At 43.5% G+C, this 21,265-nt stretch overlaps 1 protein-coding gene across 4 annotated transcripts in view; it reads right to left on the bottom strand.

Annotated features, from left to right (window-relative positions):
• Window positions 1–21,265, bottom strand: part of RBM20 (RNA binding motif protein 20) — a 196,224-nt gene that overhangs the window by 33,478 nt on the left and 141,481 nt on the right. For all 4 annotated transcript variants that reach the window (XM_017016103.3, NM_001134363.3, XM_017016104.3 and 1 more), the window contains exons 5-7: window positions 21,102–21,199; window positions 8,343–8,483; window positions 6,073–6,204 (exon numbers count right to left, since the gene is read on the bottom strand). In XM_017016103.3, the coding sequence (XP_016871592.1) occupies window positions 6,073–6,204; window positions 8,343–8,483; window positions 21,102–21,199 (371 nt within the window). The remainder of the gene's footprint in view (window positions 1–6,072; window positions 6,205–8,342; window positions 8,484–21,101; window positions 21,200–21,265) is intronic.

Here is a 21,265-nt window from a genome sequence, read left to right as displayed (position 1 = left end):
CTCAGGCAGTTCTTTAAAGCAGTGTGAGAACGGACTAATACACATCTGTACTCACCACCCTCCTTCCCCACCCCCTATATTATTTTGAAGCAAACGTCAGACATTGTTATCTTTACATCCATTCTGTGATGACAATGATTCCGCTCAACAGCCCCACAAGGGACCAACTACAGTGCTCAGAGTTAACACATCTTGCTGCTTTTAAGACAAGGGTGAGATTCCAAGCCCCATGCAGTCCTAGAAAAGTGCTGGCATATTAAGAGGGAGGCACCACCACTAGGAATCTCAACCCAGGAAGAGCAGCCCCAGCCCTGCCCGCACCTGGCTAGGTCACCCTGGGTCAAGGCTTATTGCCGATGGGAAACTCACTTTCTCCACCAGTGAAGGTGGGTTAATGAGGCCCATCTGGCATCCACCAAAAGCCTCAGGGCATGGCAGGCTACACCCGTAAAAGTCACAGAGTGCTTGGCCAACATGAAGGGAGCTGCTGGAAAGTTTCATGCCCTCTGACAACTCCACACCTGTTTTACACACTTCAAGAGTCCTGGGAAGACACTGAAACCTTCTAGATGAGCCCAGAACTCATCTGAGCCAGATCCTGTCAAGGCAGCCCTGACTGTTTCAACATTACCAGGCTTTCTAGGCTCGACATCATCACTCACCCGACTCCTGCCTGGAAGCTCTGTCTCTCTTTAGCTAATTCTCCCCTTCTTCAAGGCCTTGTTTAGGAATCTCTTCCCTTTTTCACACCCCTCAGTCACACTGCCTTTTGCCATGGAACTTCTGGTAGCTCCTGTACTTATGCACTCATGTTTAAATCTTGTGTAATTTTGCACAAGAATAATTTGTCTCCCAGTTGGAGAGTGAACTCTTCCCAACTGAGAACCATGTCTTGTATTGCTTTGTAACTATCAGCACATAGAGAAGACTCTCAATCATCTTCCCAACTGAGAGCACCATGGACCATTCACAAGACTGCTTCCCAGGGCCAGAAGCCCTCTCTGTAGCGAGGAGGCTGGCAAGACCAATGGCTCTGAAACCAGACCCTCTGCCCTCAAAAGCACCTGGGAGTCTCATTCCCACCCGAAGCCTATTGAAGAGAATCTCTGGGCAAGAGGACTCCCCCCACAAAAAATCCCCTGATGACCCTCTGATGAAGTGACTGGGAGACACTGGTTTAAATTATTCCAAGTTCACTTCTGCATCAGAGAGATTATGATTCCATACTTATTGACGAAGTTTCCATAGAACAACCCAGAATATATTCCAATCATCTTGTCCAGGTCTGCAGGAAGAAGGCTACTCACTTTTTGTTGTTCCTTCAGATTTTCTCTTTCTTATTCATTTTGCATATTTATTAAACATCTATCATGTGAAAGGTTCTGCCTCAAATAAGCTGAGGAACTCCCTTGCCACAGGAAGTATATGGGGAGATAAGATATGTGCATGAAGAAATATTCAAGAGAGGAAATGAAAAATACCTTAAAATCTCTCCCTTCTCTCCCTATACTTTACCTGGTGAGCAAAAGATAAAGTTAGAGGAGAAAGAGCAATCAGAATTTCTCCCCACCTCTGCAAACCCTGGTGGGACCTCATATGCAGCCCCTTTGGCCCAGAGACACACATGGATACAGTGTTTGCCCTCTACCTTCCCGGTAGCCACTCTCCCTCCTCCTGATAGCAGCTGTTCCTCCCTCATCTTGCTCCAGAGCTCTAGGTGGGTCTCTGTCCCAGCTCTGAGGATGTAGCAGATGACACAGGTCCAGCCAATCACAGCATGGCCTAGCCCTGGCCAGAGATCAATTCAGGAATGTGCACCTGTGCTAAGCTAGTCCAGTCAGAGCGACTCTCTCTCAAAAGTCTCAGGACTTTTGTGGGAGCTTCTAGGAAAAAACTCTGGCTTTCTCTTGTTGAAGGAAAGGGAAGGGGGAGAAAGAGCTGCTGAGGTCACTGTAGCCATCATGCCACCTAGAGGAGAGAGCCTGGGCTGCTACGGCCCATCCCAGGGAGCCCCCAGTAAACAAAGCCAAAAGAGCAGAAGGCAGCGTGGAGAGAAACCAAGTCCTAATGAGGGTCTCTGGGTCCTGAATCCAGCCGCACCTGCAGCCAGATCTACTCCTGGACGTTTCATTTACATGCATCCATAAATTCTTTTTTTTTTTTTTTTTTTTTTTTTTTGCTTAAGCCAACAGGCTTAATGGAGATGAATTTCTGTTACGTGCAGACAGAGTGGCAGCTGATTCATATCAACATAGGGACCATAAAGCATGCATTACTATGTAGTTGAGACATACATTAAGTTGTTTTCACATCTGTTATTCCATGCGACCTTCACAATGCCTTAAGAGGGAATATGGCAGCTTGGGGAGCAGAAAAGCCCTGCTAAAGATCAGAAAATAATGTGTTCTGCGCCCTTTCTATTCAAAGTGTTCTCCGAGGACCACCAGCAGCAGCATCTCCTGGGACCTCGTTAGAAATACGCAATAACAGCACTACCCTAGATATGCTGAATCAAAGTGAGTTTTCACAACATCACCAAGTGATCTGTATGCACACTGAAGCTTGAGAAGCTCTGTTAGAATACTATCTCTGCGGCTTCTTGGCTGGGTGACTATAAGCAAATTACCTGATTTCTCAGGTTTTTTTCACATAGACAACAGAGATCATGATAACACACTATAACAATGCAGCTTTAGTGCAAAACCAAAACAGCACTAAGTTTTAATCATAGCTCTTCCAGTAGCTAAGTACAATCCTGGGCAAGTTCCTGAATTTCTATTAGCTTCAGATTCCTCATCTGTAAAACTGAGATAATAATACCTGTCTAACAGGACTGATGTCAGGATTAAATAATGTATGTAAACTTCTTTGCCCCAGAGTACCGGGACTCAATTAAAGGTATACATTATTGTTATTGTTGTACTCTTATAATTACTGCTATTATACACCCTACACACTTCACAGGGTACAGTGATTACGAGACTGAAAAGATAATGTATGAAAAAAAATACTTAAAGCCAAATAACTCAAAGTATAGTCCTTTCCTGATCTGTAAACTGAGGTTCACAGAGGTTAAGCAACTTTTCTAAGCTCACTAAAGCAGGAAGCGGTAGAGCCCAGGCTGACATCACCATCTTCCAATCTAGGATAGGTCACATGGTTGTCAGTGGTTCTTTGTTTATTTGCTTTTTCTCCCACCAGACTGAGCTCCTCGCCAGCTTGCTACTTCTCCCTCCATGGCACCTGGCCCAGTTCCACCCACGGTGAGCACTCAGTGCACATTTGCTGAAAGCAAAACTCGACCATCTGACCTCTTTAACCCATGTTTTTTGCACCACCCCAAACTATCTCCCTCAGGAAGGTATTGCTATGCTTTGGTACTTTAATTTAAGAAGCCAATTACTGCCGTTAATCCTAATTAGAAACTTATGACAACATCTCATTTGGAGACCAAAGCTCTACTGGGAACTTAGTGTAGAAATTCAATTCCAGCCCCCAGGGAAGAATCCAGGAGACCAGGAACTTTGGTTGGATATAGAATGGGGTGGGATGCTTACTTGTCTGAAAGAAGCAATATACTTTTATTAGGAAAAAAAAAAAAAAAAAAGCCAGGTTCTGCCTGAAGGAGAACTGTTAGTAAAGGAATTTCAGAGGCAATGATGCAAGCAAAGCAGATTCAGGACTCTGGAAGCTGGTTGACACAGTGCCCATCTACATATGGAGACTTGTCAGAATGCCAGTCCTAGCCAGAAACATCCACTAAGCCTTTGTCTTCTAACTTCAACCTTGAAGGTGGATTAAGGCCTGTGGGTCTTAGACAAAATGGACCCTAAGTCAATGTGGAATGAGCTAAAGTGAACGGGAAAATCCCTATTAAATGGAACAGTAGAAAGCACAAAATAAGAGGGTAGATTCAAACACTAATACAGCATTAATTACAAGAAATCCAAATAGACTACGTGCTCCAGTTAAGAGAACTCCTGCAAACCAATAAGAAGACACAATGCAAAAGAAAAGCATGGGCAGATGACCTGAAAAGAAACAGCCCATCAGAGAAGATCCAGATGGAACAGCCAACAAACAGATGAAAAAGTGCTCAATCTCCATGCGCAATTAGGGGAATAAAATATAAAACTGTGATAAACTGGCCAGGCACGGTGGTTCACGCTTGTAATCCCAGCACTTTGGGAGGCTGAGGCGGGCAGATCATAAGGTCAGGATATTGAGACCATCCTGGCCAATATGGCGAAACCCTGTCTCTATTAAAATACAAAAAAAAAAAAAAAAAAAGTAGCCAGGCATGGTGGTGTGTGCCTGTAGTCCCAGCTACTCGGGAGGTGGGGAAGGAGAATTGCTTGAACCTGGGAGGTGGAGATTGCAGTGAGCCAAAATTGCACCACTGCGCTCCAGCCTGGTGACAGAGCAAGACTCCGTCTCAAAAACAAAACAAAACAAAACTGTGATAAACCATGATACTCTCCCACGACAGGCAAAAATTTAAAAGTTGGACAAGACAATGTGTTAGCAAGAATGTGGACCATTGAAAACTTTTTTTTTTTTTTTGAGACGGAGTTTCACTTTTGTTGCCCAGGCTAGAGTGCAGTGGCACAATCTTGGCTCACTGCAACCTCTGCCTCCCAGGTTAAAGCGATTCTCCTGCCTCAGCCTCCCGAGTAGCTGAGATTACAGGCGCCTGCCACCACGCCTGGCTAATTTTTGTATTTTTAGTAGAGACGGGGTTTCACCATGTTGGCCAGGCTGCTCTTGAACCCCTGACCTCGTGATCCACCCACCTTGGTCTCCCAAAGTGCTGGGATTACAGGGGTGAGCCACCACGCCCGGCCGAAAACTCTAATACACTACTAGTAGGAGTATAAATTTGAGACAACTAATTTTGGAAAGAGCTTGCTATCATCTAGGAAAGTTGAGGTAAGCATGCCTTATGATGCAGCTATCTCAATCTTAGTTATGTATGTACCTCTAGTTATATGCTCAAGTGCATATATACCAGGATGACATGTTTGAGAAGGTTCAGATTAGCCTTGTCCCTAAAACAACTCAAATGTCCATCAACAGTAGAATGGATAAACTGTATAGCCATACAATGGAAATGTATATAACAATGAAAATAAATAGACATGCCCAACAACATGGATGGCATCATGTTGAATGAAAGAAGCAAGATCTGTAAGAACACAGCATAATTCCATTTATATAAAGTTCAAAAACAGGCAAAACTAAACCATAATGTTTAGGGAGGCATATACAGGTGATAGAACTATAAGGAAAAGCACAGATATGATTATCATTGAAGTCAGGAGAGTAGAGAGGGAGGGGTTGAACAGGAGGAGGGACTCACGGGAGCTTCTGGATGCTGTCCATATTCTATTTCTTGACTTTGGTGGTGGTTTTACGGGATTTGTGAGATCTCACCCATTATTACTTTTTAAACCATACAATATATAATCAGCCATTTTTCTGTGTGTTCTGTTATACTTCACAATAAAACAAAAAAGAAGGAAAGAAAAGAAAGAAACGTAGATCAGCTAAAACAAAAGCAAACCCTGGTTTGGAACTATTTGAATGCATCCCTGAGTTCTGACAGTGGCCAATTCAGCCAAGGGCTGCTTAGAAGGACTTCTATGAGGCTTAAGACGTAAATATGAAGGAGAGAGAAGAGAACAAGAGATCAAGGGGGTGACAGAAGAAGAAAATGTTACTGAAGGTCTGTATAGGGAGAGAAGGTTGTATTCAAGGGTTTATGCCTGGAACTCTCAGCACCTTTCCCTTCTGACTTCCTCCTTTAAAAGTTCCCCTGTGAACATCTTCTTCTGGAAAACTTTCCTTGGCTCCCAGGTAGTCTCAGGCGTCTCTTTGCACTTTGTATTTACCTCAAGAGCACTTTTCTTGCCATGCTGCAATGGTTTGCCTCGAGATCCTCAAAGGCAGTGTGTAATTTCTGAATCTTTTCCTATCCTCTCCTTTCCACCAGCGTTTAGGTCAGTGCCTAACACGGAGGAGAAACTCATCTGGTGCTTGTTGAATGACTGAATGAGCAAGATAATGCTTTACCTTGAGCTGCAATTCCTTGTATCTCTTGGACATCCGAATGAGCAACTTCTCACCATTGATCACAGCAGATTTTTCTTGATAATACTGGACCATGGCCTGTGCAGCTTCTGTGTAAGCCATCTCTAAAAAGGCCTAAGAAAGAAAGGAAGGACACTCACTGGACTTGACTTTAATGGTCTTAAACAAGATTCAGCACAAGGCATGATTCCACGTCTATGAAGTTCAAGAACAGGCAAAACTAATCAACGGTGACAGGAGTTAGCATTGAGCTTCTCTCTCAGGTGGGGATGGGGAACTGATGGAGAAGAAGCATAAGGAAACCTGACATTCTGGAAATGCTCTATATCTTTACCTGGGTGTTAATTATATGGGTGTACACATGTAACCGATTAATGGAATTGTACACTTAGGATGAGTGTACATTATGCACTGTAGAGTATGTGTTTTATACCTCACTTAAAAGGAAAAAAAGTCAGCACAAGGAAGAGATCTCTTTGATCCCATCTGTTCAAAGAGACCTTTTTATAAACATCACCAAAAGAGCTCATTATAAGATGGCCCTTTCCTGATCCCCAGGGTTACCAGACATTGTTATTAATTATGTATGTCTGTCCTGGGCTACATCATGCCATGGAATACCTCTGAGATGGAAGAGCCCACTAACCCACATTTCCCTGGAGGGGCAGTTGCATATGTGGCCTTGAGCTGATCCCTATAAAACTTGCTCTCTGGTGGTGATGGTGACAGCAAGAGACACAAGCTTTGGTTATTTGAGTTCTACTTTCCTTATAAAAAAATTCAGGAACTCACAAACCCCTAGGCTTGAAGGAAGGCCATGTTGTTGTGAGTTAAAGAAAAAGGAAAACTTCCCGATTATGTTTCCACAGCATCTTTCTTCTTTATTTAACTGCTCTGATAAAACACAGACAAATGGGCTTTTCCACTAAACCTGTGTCTACTGAGAGTTCCAAAGAGACCGTTTTGACTGTGCATCAGTTTACCCCAGTAGTTGGTGTGGTGAATTTGTTGCTGCTATTGTTTTTTGGATTTGTTTGGTTTGTACTATACTGACAATATACTGATCCTGATTCCTCAATGCTGCAGGGGAAAAGGGGTCGGTGACAGGGAAGCCCTCACTGTGAGCCCCTGACTCTCTCATTTCCTTAAACTAAATGATCTAAACAAGCTCATTCTCTTCCTTCTCTCATATTTATTTCTGAATTTCAGATGCACAGCTTTTCTCCATGCTGTCATAGTCTATGGCATTAGCGTGGGCGACTAAGAAGTCAAGATTCTTTAGGGTTTTATTTCACATTCTGCCACCCAGCTTTCTCAGTGCCTTTTTCTTGATAAACACTTTAGCACCTCTAGCTCTCACTTGTCAAATGGGAATAATACTAATCTAGGGACTCTCACCACATCAATGTTACAAGCTGAATTCTGTGCATTTACCCAAAATAGAATTTCTGAGAAGTAGGAACAGAGACAAGTGAGTAGTCTCACTCCAGGTTGATGGAGAGAGATAGCTTAATGACCTGATGTGGCTATGAGTCTCCAAAGTTCAGCCTTCTTTAAGAAAAGAATTTTTCCTATGCCTGTTCCTCCGATTCATAAAGTAAAAATATTCATTAAAAGATAAAATATTCTGATTTCTGACTGTTGGGAGTATAAACTCCCCACCTGACTTTAGAAATGAAGACAAAGGTACTCCATCCCAAAGGGCTCAGTCAACTCCTACAGGTTAAGGATTCTTAGTTCCTTAGACTTAGTAAGCATCCATCCATTCTCACACTCCTACTCTCCTGCTGTGAGACAAAGGGCCTCACCTGCTGACATCAAGGACCAGGAAAAATACCTAGTCCCAAGTTCTTGGCTGGCTCCAAATCCAGGCCATCAGATAGGAGAGGCTTAGAGGATAAGATTATAATTAGCTCAGGGGGGTTGACAACACAGTGAAGAGATTCAAGTCCATAGATTTTTATTTTGGGTGCCAATTACCCTTTCTATGTGAATGAGCACCTCATTCCAAAGCATCTCCTCTCACCTCTAGGCAATTCACAAAGGCCTGTACCTATCACTAGAAGGTTAGAGTGAAACTAGGGGAAACAAAAAAACATCACCAGCAAAAACACCTACGCCATGCCAACAGAAGGCCAGCTACGGCATCGCCTCTTTATGTTAAGAATGGCTTCTTTCAAAAATTATATCGTTCCCTTTCACTAATGTGTGGTCTGTGGCATATACACTGGAGTGAAAGTACCCAGACCTACCTGATTAGTCGACTTCATGAGGATGTAATTAGTGACCTTTCCAAAGGGCAGCCCCAGGTTAATGACGTCATTCTCAGTGCAGCTTCCTTCAGGGAGATTGCAGATGTGCACCACACGGCCAGCCCCTTTCCGCTGTGCAAACTAATGGGAACAAAGATCATTAGTGGTATTCAGAAGACGGTTCCCTTTTCCCCTCTCTTCCAGACGTTCTTAATGGCTATCTTTCCCCTAAACAATGATTGTAAAACTATAATTTACAAAATTAATGCAGAAAAAATCCATTCACAGACACACATAAAATATCAATTTTATTCTATCTCTTTACAAAAGGATTCATTATATATATATATATTTTTGAGACCGGGTCTCACTCCCATCACCCAGGCTAGAGCGCAGTGGTGCAAACACGGCTTACTGCAGCCTTGACTTCCAGACTCAAGTGATTCTCCCATCTCAGCCTCCCAAGTAGCTGGGACCACAGGCATGCACCACCATTTCATAATAATGTTTTTTATAAGCAGTAACAACGAGGGCTGTGGAGGATATGAGGAAATGCACATATCCATATGTTGCTAGTGGGAGGTTGAGTATCTGTAAACTTTTGAGAATATACTTTAGCAATATTAAATAAAACAAAGTATACAGAGCCCATGATCCTGCCATTCCACTCTTAGAAATGTATCCTATAGAAATAATAGCACCCCAATATGTGATGGCTCATGTGCAAGAACATTTATTACAGTAATTTATTAGGTGGCAAAAAATTGGGGGAACAGCCTGAATGTCCAACAATAGGGAAATGTTTGAGTAAAGGATGGCTCAATCATAAAATTGAAAACTACATAGCCATGACAAGAAGGAGGTAAATGTGCTGATATAGAATAATTTTTTTTAAGAAGTCAGAGTCTTCCTGTACCACTCAGACTAGAATGCAGTGGCACAATCATAGCTCACTGCAGCCTTGAACTCCTGGGCTCAAGCCATCCTCCCGACTCAGCCTCCCGAATAGCTGGGACTATTGATGGCTTGAGCCATCACACCCAGCTGATTTTTTAATTTTTATTTTTTGTATAAACAGGGTCTTGCTGTATTGCCCAGGCTAGTCTTGAAATCCTGACCTCAAGTGATTCTCTCACCTTGGTGATATGAAATACTTTTTAAGACAGATTGTTAAGTTAAAAGCAGGTTACCAAGTGGTATGTGTACTATAATGCCATTTTTGGAAAACAAAAATATATGAAAAAAGACAGATGAAGCAAGTGTTGTAAAATTTTGATAATTATTGGAATTGGGTGATGGGTATACAAGGATTAATTATACTGGTCTCTACTGTTCCGTATGTTTAAAAATTTTTGCAATAAAAAATGCTTAAAGAATATCAGCACATACAGACAAAGATGTGCAGCATATATATCAACCTGTCAATGCTGGTTATCTTCAGAGAAGCAGAATGGGAAGGCAGTAAGATGAGACATGCTGAACCTTCTTCATATATACCTCATGTTGTTTGACTTACAATTCCAATAAAGAAAAAAGAACATAGAAAGTTTGTGGGAATCTAATACATATGCATTGATATTCACAGCAAAAACCTGTGGTTTAGGGCAGTGGTTTTCGAAATATTTTTAGCTTGGAGTCCTTTCTTCAAACAAAACTGGTTTATCCCAATGTATTCAACAAATAAAAGAGGAGCTATTCTGGTCAAACCTTGGGGTCCGGCACCCTGGCACGACCCCCACCTGGCAGTCTCAAAGGCACCTCTAAGGAACACAGTTTGGAAGCCAACATTTGGCCCTAATCAAAGCTCCTGGAGGGAGGAAGTGTGTCTGTCTGTTTTGTGCAAACCTTAATCAGCCTGGAATCTCTGGGAGGGTCAAGAATTAGTAACCATAAGCCAACCCAATGTGGAAGAGAAGGATATAATTTTCCGAACCTGAAACACATTCTAATAGCATAGTCTCCATTTGCATAATCACAATTTTCTATGTTAAACTGAACTTCTACATCTAATTACATTTGATGTGGGGCCGACTCTGCTAAGGTAATACAGGGGGAAAGTCTAAGATGTCACCCCTAACAAGGGCTAATACTTGGGTAATTCTACCATGAAAAGCCCTCATTTGTCTCATTTGAGCTGAAAACAATTACAGTCAATAAGAATTTCCTTTTATGGTTCAGCCCTGAATTGTTGAAGCCCAAGTGCCTCTTTCCGACCTCCCACTCTGCAATGTCCAGAGGTCAAGCACTTTCCCAAAGGGGAGCAAGGATTCAGGCAGCTCCCAGAGCAGCTCCTCATCTTCCTAAAGTGCAAATGGACTCTCCATCAGCTAGGAGACTTTGAGTCTGAGCCTGGCTAGTGAGGACTGAACCCTTCTGCAGAAACGAAAGGAGGAGTGCTATTAAGAAGCAGAATCTTTGCCTCCCATTAGTGTGAGTGTTCACTTAAAGATGCAGACACAGCTGAGCTTTCAAGCAGGGTAGAGTGGCTGGTCCTCTGAGCTTATCACAAGGACGGCTGAGGCTAGGTGCTCTGCCTGGTCTCTTAGCGAGGCACGTTTCTGCCCCATGTGACTTTGCTGTGGTTGGCCTGTGCTAATGTGTGCTTGGACAATGGAGCAGACACCCAAGGCAGTTCCAGGCCTATCCTGCTCCTGGCCTATCCAGTTGCCTAGTGAACAGGCATGAGGGCCAGTGCCTCTCTCATTGTCTCCTCCAGACTGAAAGGACAACTCAAGAGGCTTTTATTGGAACATAGCACAGCAACTGCTGCTGCTGGGTAGTAGAAAAAACAACCTCGCAGCTGCCAGTCACCAAAGAAGAGAAGCATTCATGCTGAAGATGTCGTTACCAAAGGCACTAAGTGAATGGGTCTCAATTAAAATTTCCAGTCAAATTTTAAAAAGACATCTTCTGAGTTCTTTCTCTTCCAAGATTTTAATCAGAAACAGATGCTGGATTTTACCAATTCCCTTGTTGTCATTTATTAAGACACTAATGAGATTTTTAGTATTCTTCCAGATAATAGTAATTTGGAGCTTTCCAATTATGAGCTACATCAACTGCAAATGGTTATAGGAGTGCCAAGATATTGATCCCTCAGGCTGAAGGCCAAGTTCCTCCAGTGATCATGAGTAGCTTCTTCAGTTAAACCATTTACTTCAGCAGATTATTTTCTAAGTGAGCCATGAAATGAAAATCTTGAGAATCTCTAGGTTAATAGTTTGCTTTTGTGTGGTGTCTGGCTTCAGGGCATGTGGTAAATCCTATCCAGTTAGAAAGATAAATTAATTTTTATGTGTTCTATTCTTTTGCCAATATTTTATTTAGGATGGTTCATCAAATTCTTTTCTGCCATTGATCTGAAATATCTTTGGGTTGTTGTTGAACTCCATTTAGGTTCAAAACCATATATGATTCATACAAGATGTAGAATAGTAGCTGTTTTCACTCTATTCTATTCTCATTACACTTTACATAAACATGGCTATTATTTGCCCTATGCCCTGTGGGAGATCTGAATCATGAGGGAAAAAGGGAGGGAGCGAAGGAGGAAAGTGAGAAGGGAAACAGGCGGAGTGAGGTCCCTGAGTGGTACATCAAAAGTACAGTTTGTACATCAGGGGCACCGGCAATCCTGAGTGCTCTTGAGCAAGCGTCACCATGCTACGCAGTAATTCCCAACCCGGGCTCTCTTATAAGCCCTTAAAGGTCTTCAAAGGTAATAATACCACAGGAAGCAGGGGGCTAAACATTATTCTTTACATTGAAAAATGCGAGTTGAGATCGTACTTTGAATTTCTTTATCAATATGGTAATGTGGTGTTAAATTCAATTTGGCCTGAGGATGCCTCCATACTTTGAGTTCTTATGTAAGGAACTGCATTTTAACTTAGCACATCACCTAGGTGAAAGCCTGAAGTAGTGTACTTTTCTAACAAATAGCTGAGTCTCAGCCAATCACAGCAGCCAAGCTTCAGTTAATCACAGGCAGCCAACGATCAGACCATGTTCAAATTAGGCAAATACGGAGATGTAACCTATCAAGCTGTTTCTGTATCTGGCTTCAGTTTTCTGCCCATAAATGCTGCCTGCCCACGTGGTGCAGCGGAGCTCTCTGAACCTCTTCCGGTTCTGAGGGCTGCCCAATTAAATTAAACTCTGTTAAATTTAATTCATTTACAATTTGTCTTTTAACACTGGTTAGCTCTTAGGCTAATCAGAAAGTCTAATTGGTGTGTCTCTGTCTTTGATTAATAAAAATGGGTCACCAGTTAGTTACTCATTAATACAAGTACTTTGGCAGATAAAATCTTTCCAAATATGAAGATGCGGGACAGTGGCTGCTTGGGGTGGAAGTAAATAATGAAAGGCGACTTGAGCTATAAAAAGCTTGGGACTTTCCAGTGGAAAGAGCATCCTCCTAGAAGACAGAGGGCCTGGGTTCAATCCCCAGCTCAGCCGCTGATTAGGTGCATGACAGAGACAAACTAGTTTCCTTTTCTGAGCCTTAGTTTCCCCACGTCTGGAACGAGGGAGATGACCTATAGGTCTAAAGTCCTTTCCGGATGTAAAAAATATATATGCTTATGTGGCTCTAAGTTCTAAAATTCCACTCCTCCCAGATGCCTTGACAAGCTAAACCCCAAGAACCAGGATAATGATAGCTTTCTCCAACTGTGCTCAGTATAAACAGGAAACCCATGTCTTTCCCACTCCCTGTTCCAATGAATGTAATGTTTGTCCTCTCTCTCTGTGTAATTGGCTGTTTAACCATGCATCCATTCCCAAGCATGTTCATCTTTCAGACATGTTTGTCTGTGTTGGTGGTAGTCTCATCTTTATAGGACTAAAGATAAGCTCCAAGCAGTGAGCACCTTGTTTATGAATCCTGCAGCTCCATGAATAATTCTGCTGCCACGGTGGCTAGAAAGAGTTGAGAGGATACACAAATGAACTACAGACACCTGGGCCTGGGGCCTCTCTGAGAACAGACTCATGTCAAGTGTGTGTTTTATAGTCACCAGGCACCAGGGTCAGGGCAGTGGGAGAATCAGACAGACCTGAGTCTGTGTCTGCTCCCTCTGTGACTAACTGTGGGCCAGTTACTGAATTTCTCCAAGCCCAAGTTGGCTTGTCTGTAAAACAGGGGTAATAAAAATTGATTCCACAGGACTGCTGAGAAGATGAAATGCCACCGTGAATGTACGGTGCTTTGGGGCAATGCCTGGCATTATGCAGGCTCCTGTAAATAATGTTTATCTCCTTCCTCCACCCAACAGTTAAAGGATGTGTTACAATGATTCTGCATTGGGAAAAAATATTGTTGTGATTATGTAAGAGAAAGTCTGTATTCTTAGGAAATTCATGCTGAAAAAGAAGTGAAGAGGTACAATGTCACCAACCTACTCTAAAAATAATGATTTAGGGGAAAATGCACAGCTGATCAAATGATGGATACATAGATAGATAGATAGATAGATAGATAGATAGATAGATAGATAGATAGACAGATAGAGGAAGATAGAGAAAATGACAAAGCAAATGGGGCAAAATATAAAGGAGTAGTGAAATTAATCTGGACAAAAGTTATATGGGAGTTCCTTATACCTTTTTGGTAACTTTTCTGTAAGTTTGAAATATATTAAAAGTTACCAAAAATAAATTTTAAAAGACATACTGTAGGGGAGAAGGGCAGGTCAAGGTGTTGATGGGCTCTGTCTGCTGAGTGCCAAGGAGCCACACGTAAGACAGGTGCACTGAAAACTTTCCAGCAGAGGTCACATCTCTAAGAGAGCTAAGTTGCAGGGGTGTGACTAAAGCCTGAATTACCAAGCTAAAGGGACAATCATCCTTTTTCAGCCTCAGGGAGGCTTTAGCCTGCCTGCAAGCCAGCACTGACCTTGAGTGCCCCCACATGGGATCGGGGGCCTGGGCTGTGCATTTTCACATGCGGGGGCTGCACCTTTAAAACCAGATGGTGCTCCTGATCGTTCATATGGCTGGGTCCCAGACCTCTCAACTGACCCTCAACTCTTTTGTAGCTGGGGAGAAATGCAAAAGAAGCAAACAGACTTGTATATGAAGATTCTAAGACCTTTCATTGCCCCTTGGTGCAGGTAGAAATAGCCTTCACAGATGAGTTCAAATAAGAGGCCCGAGTTCAAATAAGAGGCTCAAGTTCAAATAACTTAGAGTTGCCGTAAAAATATGGCTTAGGGCAACAGGCCTGCAGGGTGAGAGAGGTCTCTCAAACTGCCTCCTAGAGCTGCAAAGTGTAGATTCCATCTTCAGTAAACGATTTCTGTGCTCCAGCCTGATCTGTCTCAGATGTGATCTAATGTTATCTGGCACAGAGTCTGTGGGCCTCTGCTGGTTTTGTTCTAAACATGCCTAAGAGCAGATATGGCAAATATTTATCTCTCATGATGTTGATTTATAACCTGTTATGCAGAGAGCAAGATGTTGATTTTGAACCTATCATGCAGATAGCAAATGGTTGCAAATTCCGTAGCTATGGATCTTGGCTTAACTTGGAGGGTAGACACAGTTGCCTTTATTGATGCTTTCAAATATTTTATAGAGCATATTAGCTCTGACTCAGAGTGAATTTACTTTTACTGGTAAATCCATAGGATTGCCTACGGATCTTGGACGATTCACCTGTTTAGCAGCTTCAACATCCCTGGAAACTGTAGAGTCACAAAACGTTAAAATTGGGAGGTCATCTGGTCCACGCTGTATATGAGGACACTGAAGCCTCAGAGAAGTTAAGGATCTTAATCTGTGGCCAATTAAACAGTGGCAGATTTGTGATTAAAACTCAGGTGTCACTGAAAAAAAACCTATCAATCGCAGACTTGATAAATTAAGGTAAATACAAAAATGAAGTTACACAATAAGATAGGAACTATTTACGTTCTGATGTGGAAAGATGTCTAGAAATCGATTTAAATATATATTGAAAGCTTATGTTAAGTGAAAAAAACAAATTGTGTAACAGATTGTATGACGTTATCTGGTTTGTGCCCAAAAAATTACTTTTACTAATGAAACATGTACACATACACTAGCTAGAGAGATATATACTTATAACAAAAGCATTTAACTTCTGTTTTCTCTGCAAAGTTGACTTTTCTTTTATATTTCTGTTACTGCTAAGATTGTTTACACAATGTTCACACTGCTTTTCCAACAAGAAAAAGTAAGATTTGTAAAAAGAACAAATTCCAAAACAAAACCTACCCAGGTCTCCTGTCTCCTCCTCTTTGCTCTCTTTGAAAAAGCACAAGGTGGCCCTTGCTGGAGGGACAGGAGCAATGACAGAGCTGGAATGGTGGGGAGGCGGCTGGTAGTATATGCCACATCAATTACTAGTCCTCATGCTCAAAGAAGTCAGGAGACCAGAGCGCTCTAAGCCATGCATTCAGAGGGCCAGGGCAGACAGATGGTGTTCCAGAAACAGCCAGTAATCAGAGTTGCAGCCTGTGACTTACACCTCTGGCCTTCCACAGACATTTCTATTTTCCTGAGCCTCCATTTCCTTATTTATACAAGTTCCCCAATGTGCAGGGTCTTGGCGAGAAATAAATAATAAAAACGATGTGTATCATCCCAGGTCAGGGTGGCCCATCTGTGACACTGGCACTAAATAAACTCCAAGATGGTTGTGAAAACTGCAAGGTGGCTTTACAGGGACAGACACAGAGAAAGTGCACCTCGGGCAGGTACACAAAAACTACTAACAGGCTGAGAAAGCCCCAAGGCCCCTTCCAGAAACCTGATTACTCTGTTTATGACGACTCAGTCAGCCAAGGAGAAAGTGCCTGGCCTCAAATGGCAGGAGCTTAAGTGAAAGTGAACACCTATCTCTGGGGACCCTAGAGTGGGATGGGAGGGGCTGAGGACAGACACAAATCACCCTACCAACAGCAAACACAGCATACAACTGTCAGTGCAGTGTCCCGTCTCTGTCAAATATAAACACGCGAGCCTGGGCAACATGGCGACACCCTGTCTCTCCAAAAATTAGCTGAGTCTGGTGGCACATGCCTGTAGTCCCAGTTACTTGGAGGCTAAGGTAGGAGGATCGCTTGAGCCCAGGAGGTGGAGATTACAGTAAGCCATGATCATGCCACTGCACTCCAGCCTGGGTGACACAGCGAGACCCTGTCTCGATAAATAAATAAATAAATAACAATAAAAAGGAAAAGAAAAGAAAATGAGAAAAAAAAAACCTAAACAAAAATAAATAAACAAACAAGGCAACGAAACACTCAGACTCCAACACAGGTGGGAGAAGTTTAAATGCAGCCAAGTCTGTCCCCAGAAGGGCTTGGTGGCAGTGGCAGATGGTCTTTGCGGTCCTTTTAGATTTTGTGGCAGTTCGGATATAATCTGAAGGCTCATTTCCAGAGCTCCGTGTCACTTTGGTCTTCTCTTGCTTAAAAACAGGGAGCTTTAGAGGCAGTAACTGCTCTTCGCTCCACAGACATTAGTGATATGATCAGACAGTGGCAGGATCCTGGCTGTTCCTGGTTTTACTCAAAAAAAAGTGTTTCTGAAAAGATGCATGTAAATGGAATCAGACATACAAAGTGCTGGCGCAGGACCAGACCTCACTTGTGGAGGAAAATGGGATCTCTGTGAGGGCTGAAAGGGAGACAACCGGGGAATTTCATTCCCCTCAGTATTTCTTTTCTGTTTGCATTTTCACAATAAGCATAAGTTTTGTAAGCAGAAAAACATTAGAAATGTATATGCAAAAACAACTCACTGGGCATTCATTGGAAACTGGAAAAATATCCTTTGGCAACAGAGTAATCACCCCTTATCTTTGGGGTGATATCTTTGGAGGTCAGTGTTTGTAGGCAGAAAGAAAGTCAATAGTTTCTCTGAGGGACTCTTCTGCTACTTAAAGGAGACTTGCAAAGTATTTTTCAAGAGTGGATTAATCATTTCTCCATTTCTCAGCTTGTCTTCAAATGTCAATGTTCTCGCATTTCAGGTTTTCCTCAAGACAGATACACCTGCATTCAATTCCATATGCTGGCAATGGCAAACCGGGGGACCAGCGTCTGACAGAAGGATGTGAATGAACATCAAGCCACTGACAATGTAGGGGTTGGCTGGGGCAGGCTTTGTCCTTGTCCCTCAGATAGGCTTGAGGAGGCTCATGTGACCAGCAAGATGTCACAGAGGTTATAATGATAAAACCAGACAAATGCTGACTCTCCCCTTCCACTGGGTCTGTAGAAAAGGCCTCCAAACATCTGAGTTCATCTTGGCAGATGCTGTCAGGGTGCAGAAGAATGTGGATACCAGGTGTGGCTGGCCTCTTCATCTTGCTCCATGGGTGGCCAAGGCCAGAGAAGTCCCTGTCACCTGCAACGCAGCCTCAGAACCTCCCAAGCGGCTTGTGGGGTAGGGAGAGGGGGAGGTGAGAGGGGCTTACTAAAGAGGAGGATCACAGCAAGGAAGAGACCCCTCAGATCCTCGCAGAGAGGCTGCAGGGCTTAGTGGTTACAAATGAGGCTTCCAGAGCTAGGCTGCCTAGGTTCAAATCCCACCACCTCCATTTACCAGCTATGTGGCCTCATATAAGGTACTAAGCTTCTCTAGGCCTCAGTTTCCCAACTGTACAATAAGGATAATAATAGTATCCACCTCATGGGGTTGTCTAGAGGACTAAATGAGCTAATACAAAACAAAAATGCTAAGAACATATTGAGTACTATATAAATGTTGGCTGTTGTTTTTATTATCATCCTACAATGACTGGGGCTCTCTGTCCCCTCCTAGCTCCCAAAATGTTAGCTCTCTGTCCCCTCCTAGCTCCTCGCAGAGAGCTGTCCCCTAGGTCTCTGTCCCCTCCTAGCTCCTAGCAAAATGTTTCCTGCGTTGCTTCTCACCAGGCTCAAGCCAGATAAACTCCCCATCTCTAGGTGTTCGGAGGAAGTGGCACTCAGAGCTTCGAGGAATTAATTAGAATCAACACACAAATCATCAGATAGCTTGTGCTTGCCCACTGGTACGTAATTTAAAAGTACATCCATGGGAACCTCAAAACATCTCTAAGGTGGAGCAAGTGTGACCCTGGGTATTACTAGACAGATTTGTGTAAGGGGAACACTGATACCAAGACTCGGACAAAATCCTATGGCCAGCAGACAGAGCCAGCCTTAGACAGCATGGGTTTCCCCCCGACTCTTCACAGCCAAAATGGGTTAAAAGCGCTCGTTACTCAAGAACAGCCATGGTTACTTCATATGTACTTGACGGTTCCCAAATCATTGTCCCTGATATTATCTCATCTGATCCTCACAAGGGCAGGACAATACTGGATCTATCCCAAGCCTTGCTCCCACTGTCTGGCGCTGGCCACTGAACCAGAAGCCTGGGCTGCAGAGCTGCATGGGATGTTCTGAGATTCGAGGAATAATCAAAACAATAAATTACACAAGCTGGATGGAAATCCAGTTGTTTACTTTATCTTCCAAAGGCATTATTGTTCCCACTTAAGGAAACAGAGCCTCAGAGAAGTAAAGTGACTTGCCTGGAGACACACAGCAAGTGGCTCCCAAAGTAGGACTTGAACTTAGGTCCCTAGAGCCAAGTCCATAGGAAAGGGTCTCTGGCTCAATGGGCAGCGCTGGAGGGTGGGGAAGAGGCCTGGGACAGACTGCAGAATGTCCTGCCTGTGTCTCTCCTCTCCCCATCCACCCCCCTTTATGGAGGGGCTCAGTTAATGCCATCTCTTCCCCGTACCCAGACCCCAGGTTGGAGTCAATTTACAAGCCCTGCCCCCTGCCCACCTGACACTCAATCCAGCCTCCCCCATCGTGGTCACAGTTCCTCCCCTTCAGTGCCTGGAGTGGGGTCTCAGGGCAGGGTTGTGAGCACAGAGGTGCCTCCATGGCCCACACCCCCATCAGGACACAAGGTCATGTTACCAGGAATCTGACCTCAGAGGACAGGCCTCACTGAATCTAGCCATTGCAGTCTCCTGGGACTGACCCGAAGCTGCCATTGACCTGGGCATGGCTCTGAGCGAGCAGAGTGCAGAGAGGGAAACCACAAAATTCTCTTTCACCAAAATGTGGGCTTCCAGACAGGGGCTCTCTCGAAGCGCTTCTCCTATTCAACATCACAGATCAACACACACAAATAAACAGAAGCCTGGGCTCAGGCAGGCCTCACGTCTCATCATGAACCACCTCGCTTTTCCGCTTACTCACTCCTCAGAGCCTGAGAGCTGCACTTCACAGCTTACTGGCCTGATGCTTTGCAATGCCAACACGTAGAGGGGACAGCACGTGGAGACATGCTCTTGTGAGCTTGTGTTCACTCGCAGGAGAAGAGAGAAAGAGGCTGCAGCAACTCACACCACAAAAGCACAGGCACAGGCTAAGGCACACAAACAGGTGCCCTCCAGCAGGGTTCAGACAAATGCATTTGTTTTACAGTCAGTTTTCCTCCCACTCCCCTTTCTCCTGCCCAGAGGAGAAGAAGAGGTCAGATGGGGGTGTAGGGTGGTGGCACAAAACAACTGAAACCCCAGAGAGAAGAGGAGCTGTCACCGTTGGTGAAAAAGGAGAGATGAAGCTTAGGAGCTTTGGAGGACGAAAATGTATGTTGCAGAGACAGCAAAACTAAAAACAAACAAAAACATCATACAGCACAAACCAGTTCCTCAAGGGGCCAACAAATGCTACTGGTGCGTAGTCCTTACTTTCACACACTTTCTGGTTCAAGCTTCAAAATTACCCTCTCATAGGAAATAATCTACTTCCATAAAACATTAAATAGTCTTAAAAAAACATAAAAAGCTCCAACTTTTTTTTTTCTAAGCCAGCGCTGAATGCTAGAAAGTCCAGGAATGCCTTGAATTTTAAGGATTTATGTCTGCTTCTTAAGTCATGTGTTTCAATACTAGATGAACTGGATTAAACAGCTCTTCACTTCTGTCTGGGGTTGTTTTTCTGAATGACACAAAGCCAGGTCAGCACCTCTAGGCCCAGATATAGCAGGTGATACTACAAACGCTTGACAACAACAATGACAATGGAGAAAATGGTTTTTTTGTTTGTTTGTTTTGAGACAGAGTCCCGGTCTGTCACCTGCGCTGGAGTGCAGTGGTGCGATCTCGGCTCACTGCAACCTTTGCCTCCCGGGTTCAAGTGATTCTCTTGCCTCAGCCTCCCAAGTAGCTGCGACTACAGGCATACACCATTCATGAACCAATCTATGGCCAGAAAGTGTGATGATCTCCTTGGCTGCCTGAGTCACATGCTCACCTCACTTCTGGTCATGTCATCTTGGAAACTAGAGAAGTGTAATTCCCAGAGTGGAAAATTGAAGGGTACCAGGTATAAATGGGTCTAGACCTCAAAAGCCAGCCAACTCTCCACTAAAAAAAGTGTTAACATCCTCCCAGCCTGTGGCATGTCAGGTGCATACTGAGCATGAAGAACACAGTGCTGGGGAAAGCAACAAGCATTTCAGGGTGACTGGCACACAGAGAGGTATTTGAGGCAGGGCATGGTGGCTCACACCTGTAATCCTAGCACTTTGGCCACCTGTAATTCCAGCACTTTGGTTGACCGAGGCAGGAAGATCACTTGGGACCAGGAGTTAGTTCAAGGCTGCAGTGAGATATGATTGCACCATTGCATTCCAGCCTGGCTGTCTCAAATAAACAAACAAATAAATAAACTAATAATCATTTTCATTAATTTCTAGAGAAAATGTTTCCGTACTCACAGTTGTCCCCACAGAAGCCAAAGGAAATGTGGGGCTTGACTGAGTGAATGACCTTGCTGGAATGGGCACGTATGATGTTCCAAGATTTGAGGCATAATCTAAATGATGAATTACACAAAGTCAGTGAAAACCCAGAATGTAACATCAAAAGTCATTATTAGGAC

This window comes from Homo sapiens, chromosome 10 (assembly GCF_000001405.40).
Source record: "Homo sapiens chromosome 10, GRCh38.p14 Primary Assembly".
NCBI lineage: Eukaryota > Metazoa > Chordata > Mammalia > Primates > Hominidae > Homo > Homo sapiens.
This window is presented reverse-complemented; position numbering and strand designations above follow the sequence as displayed.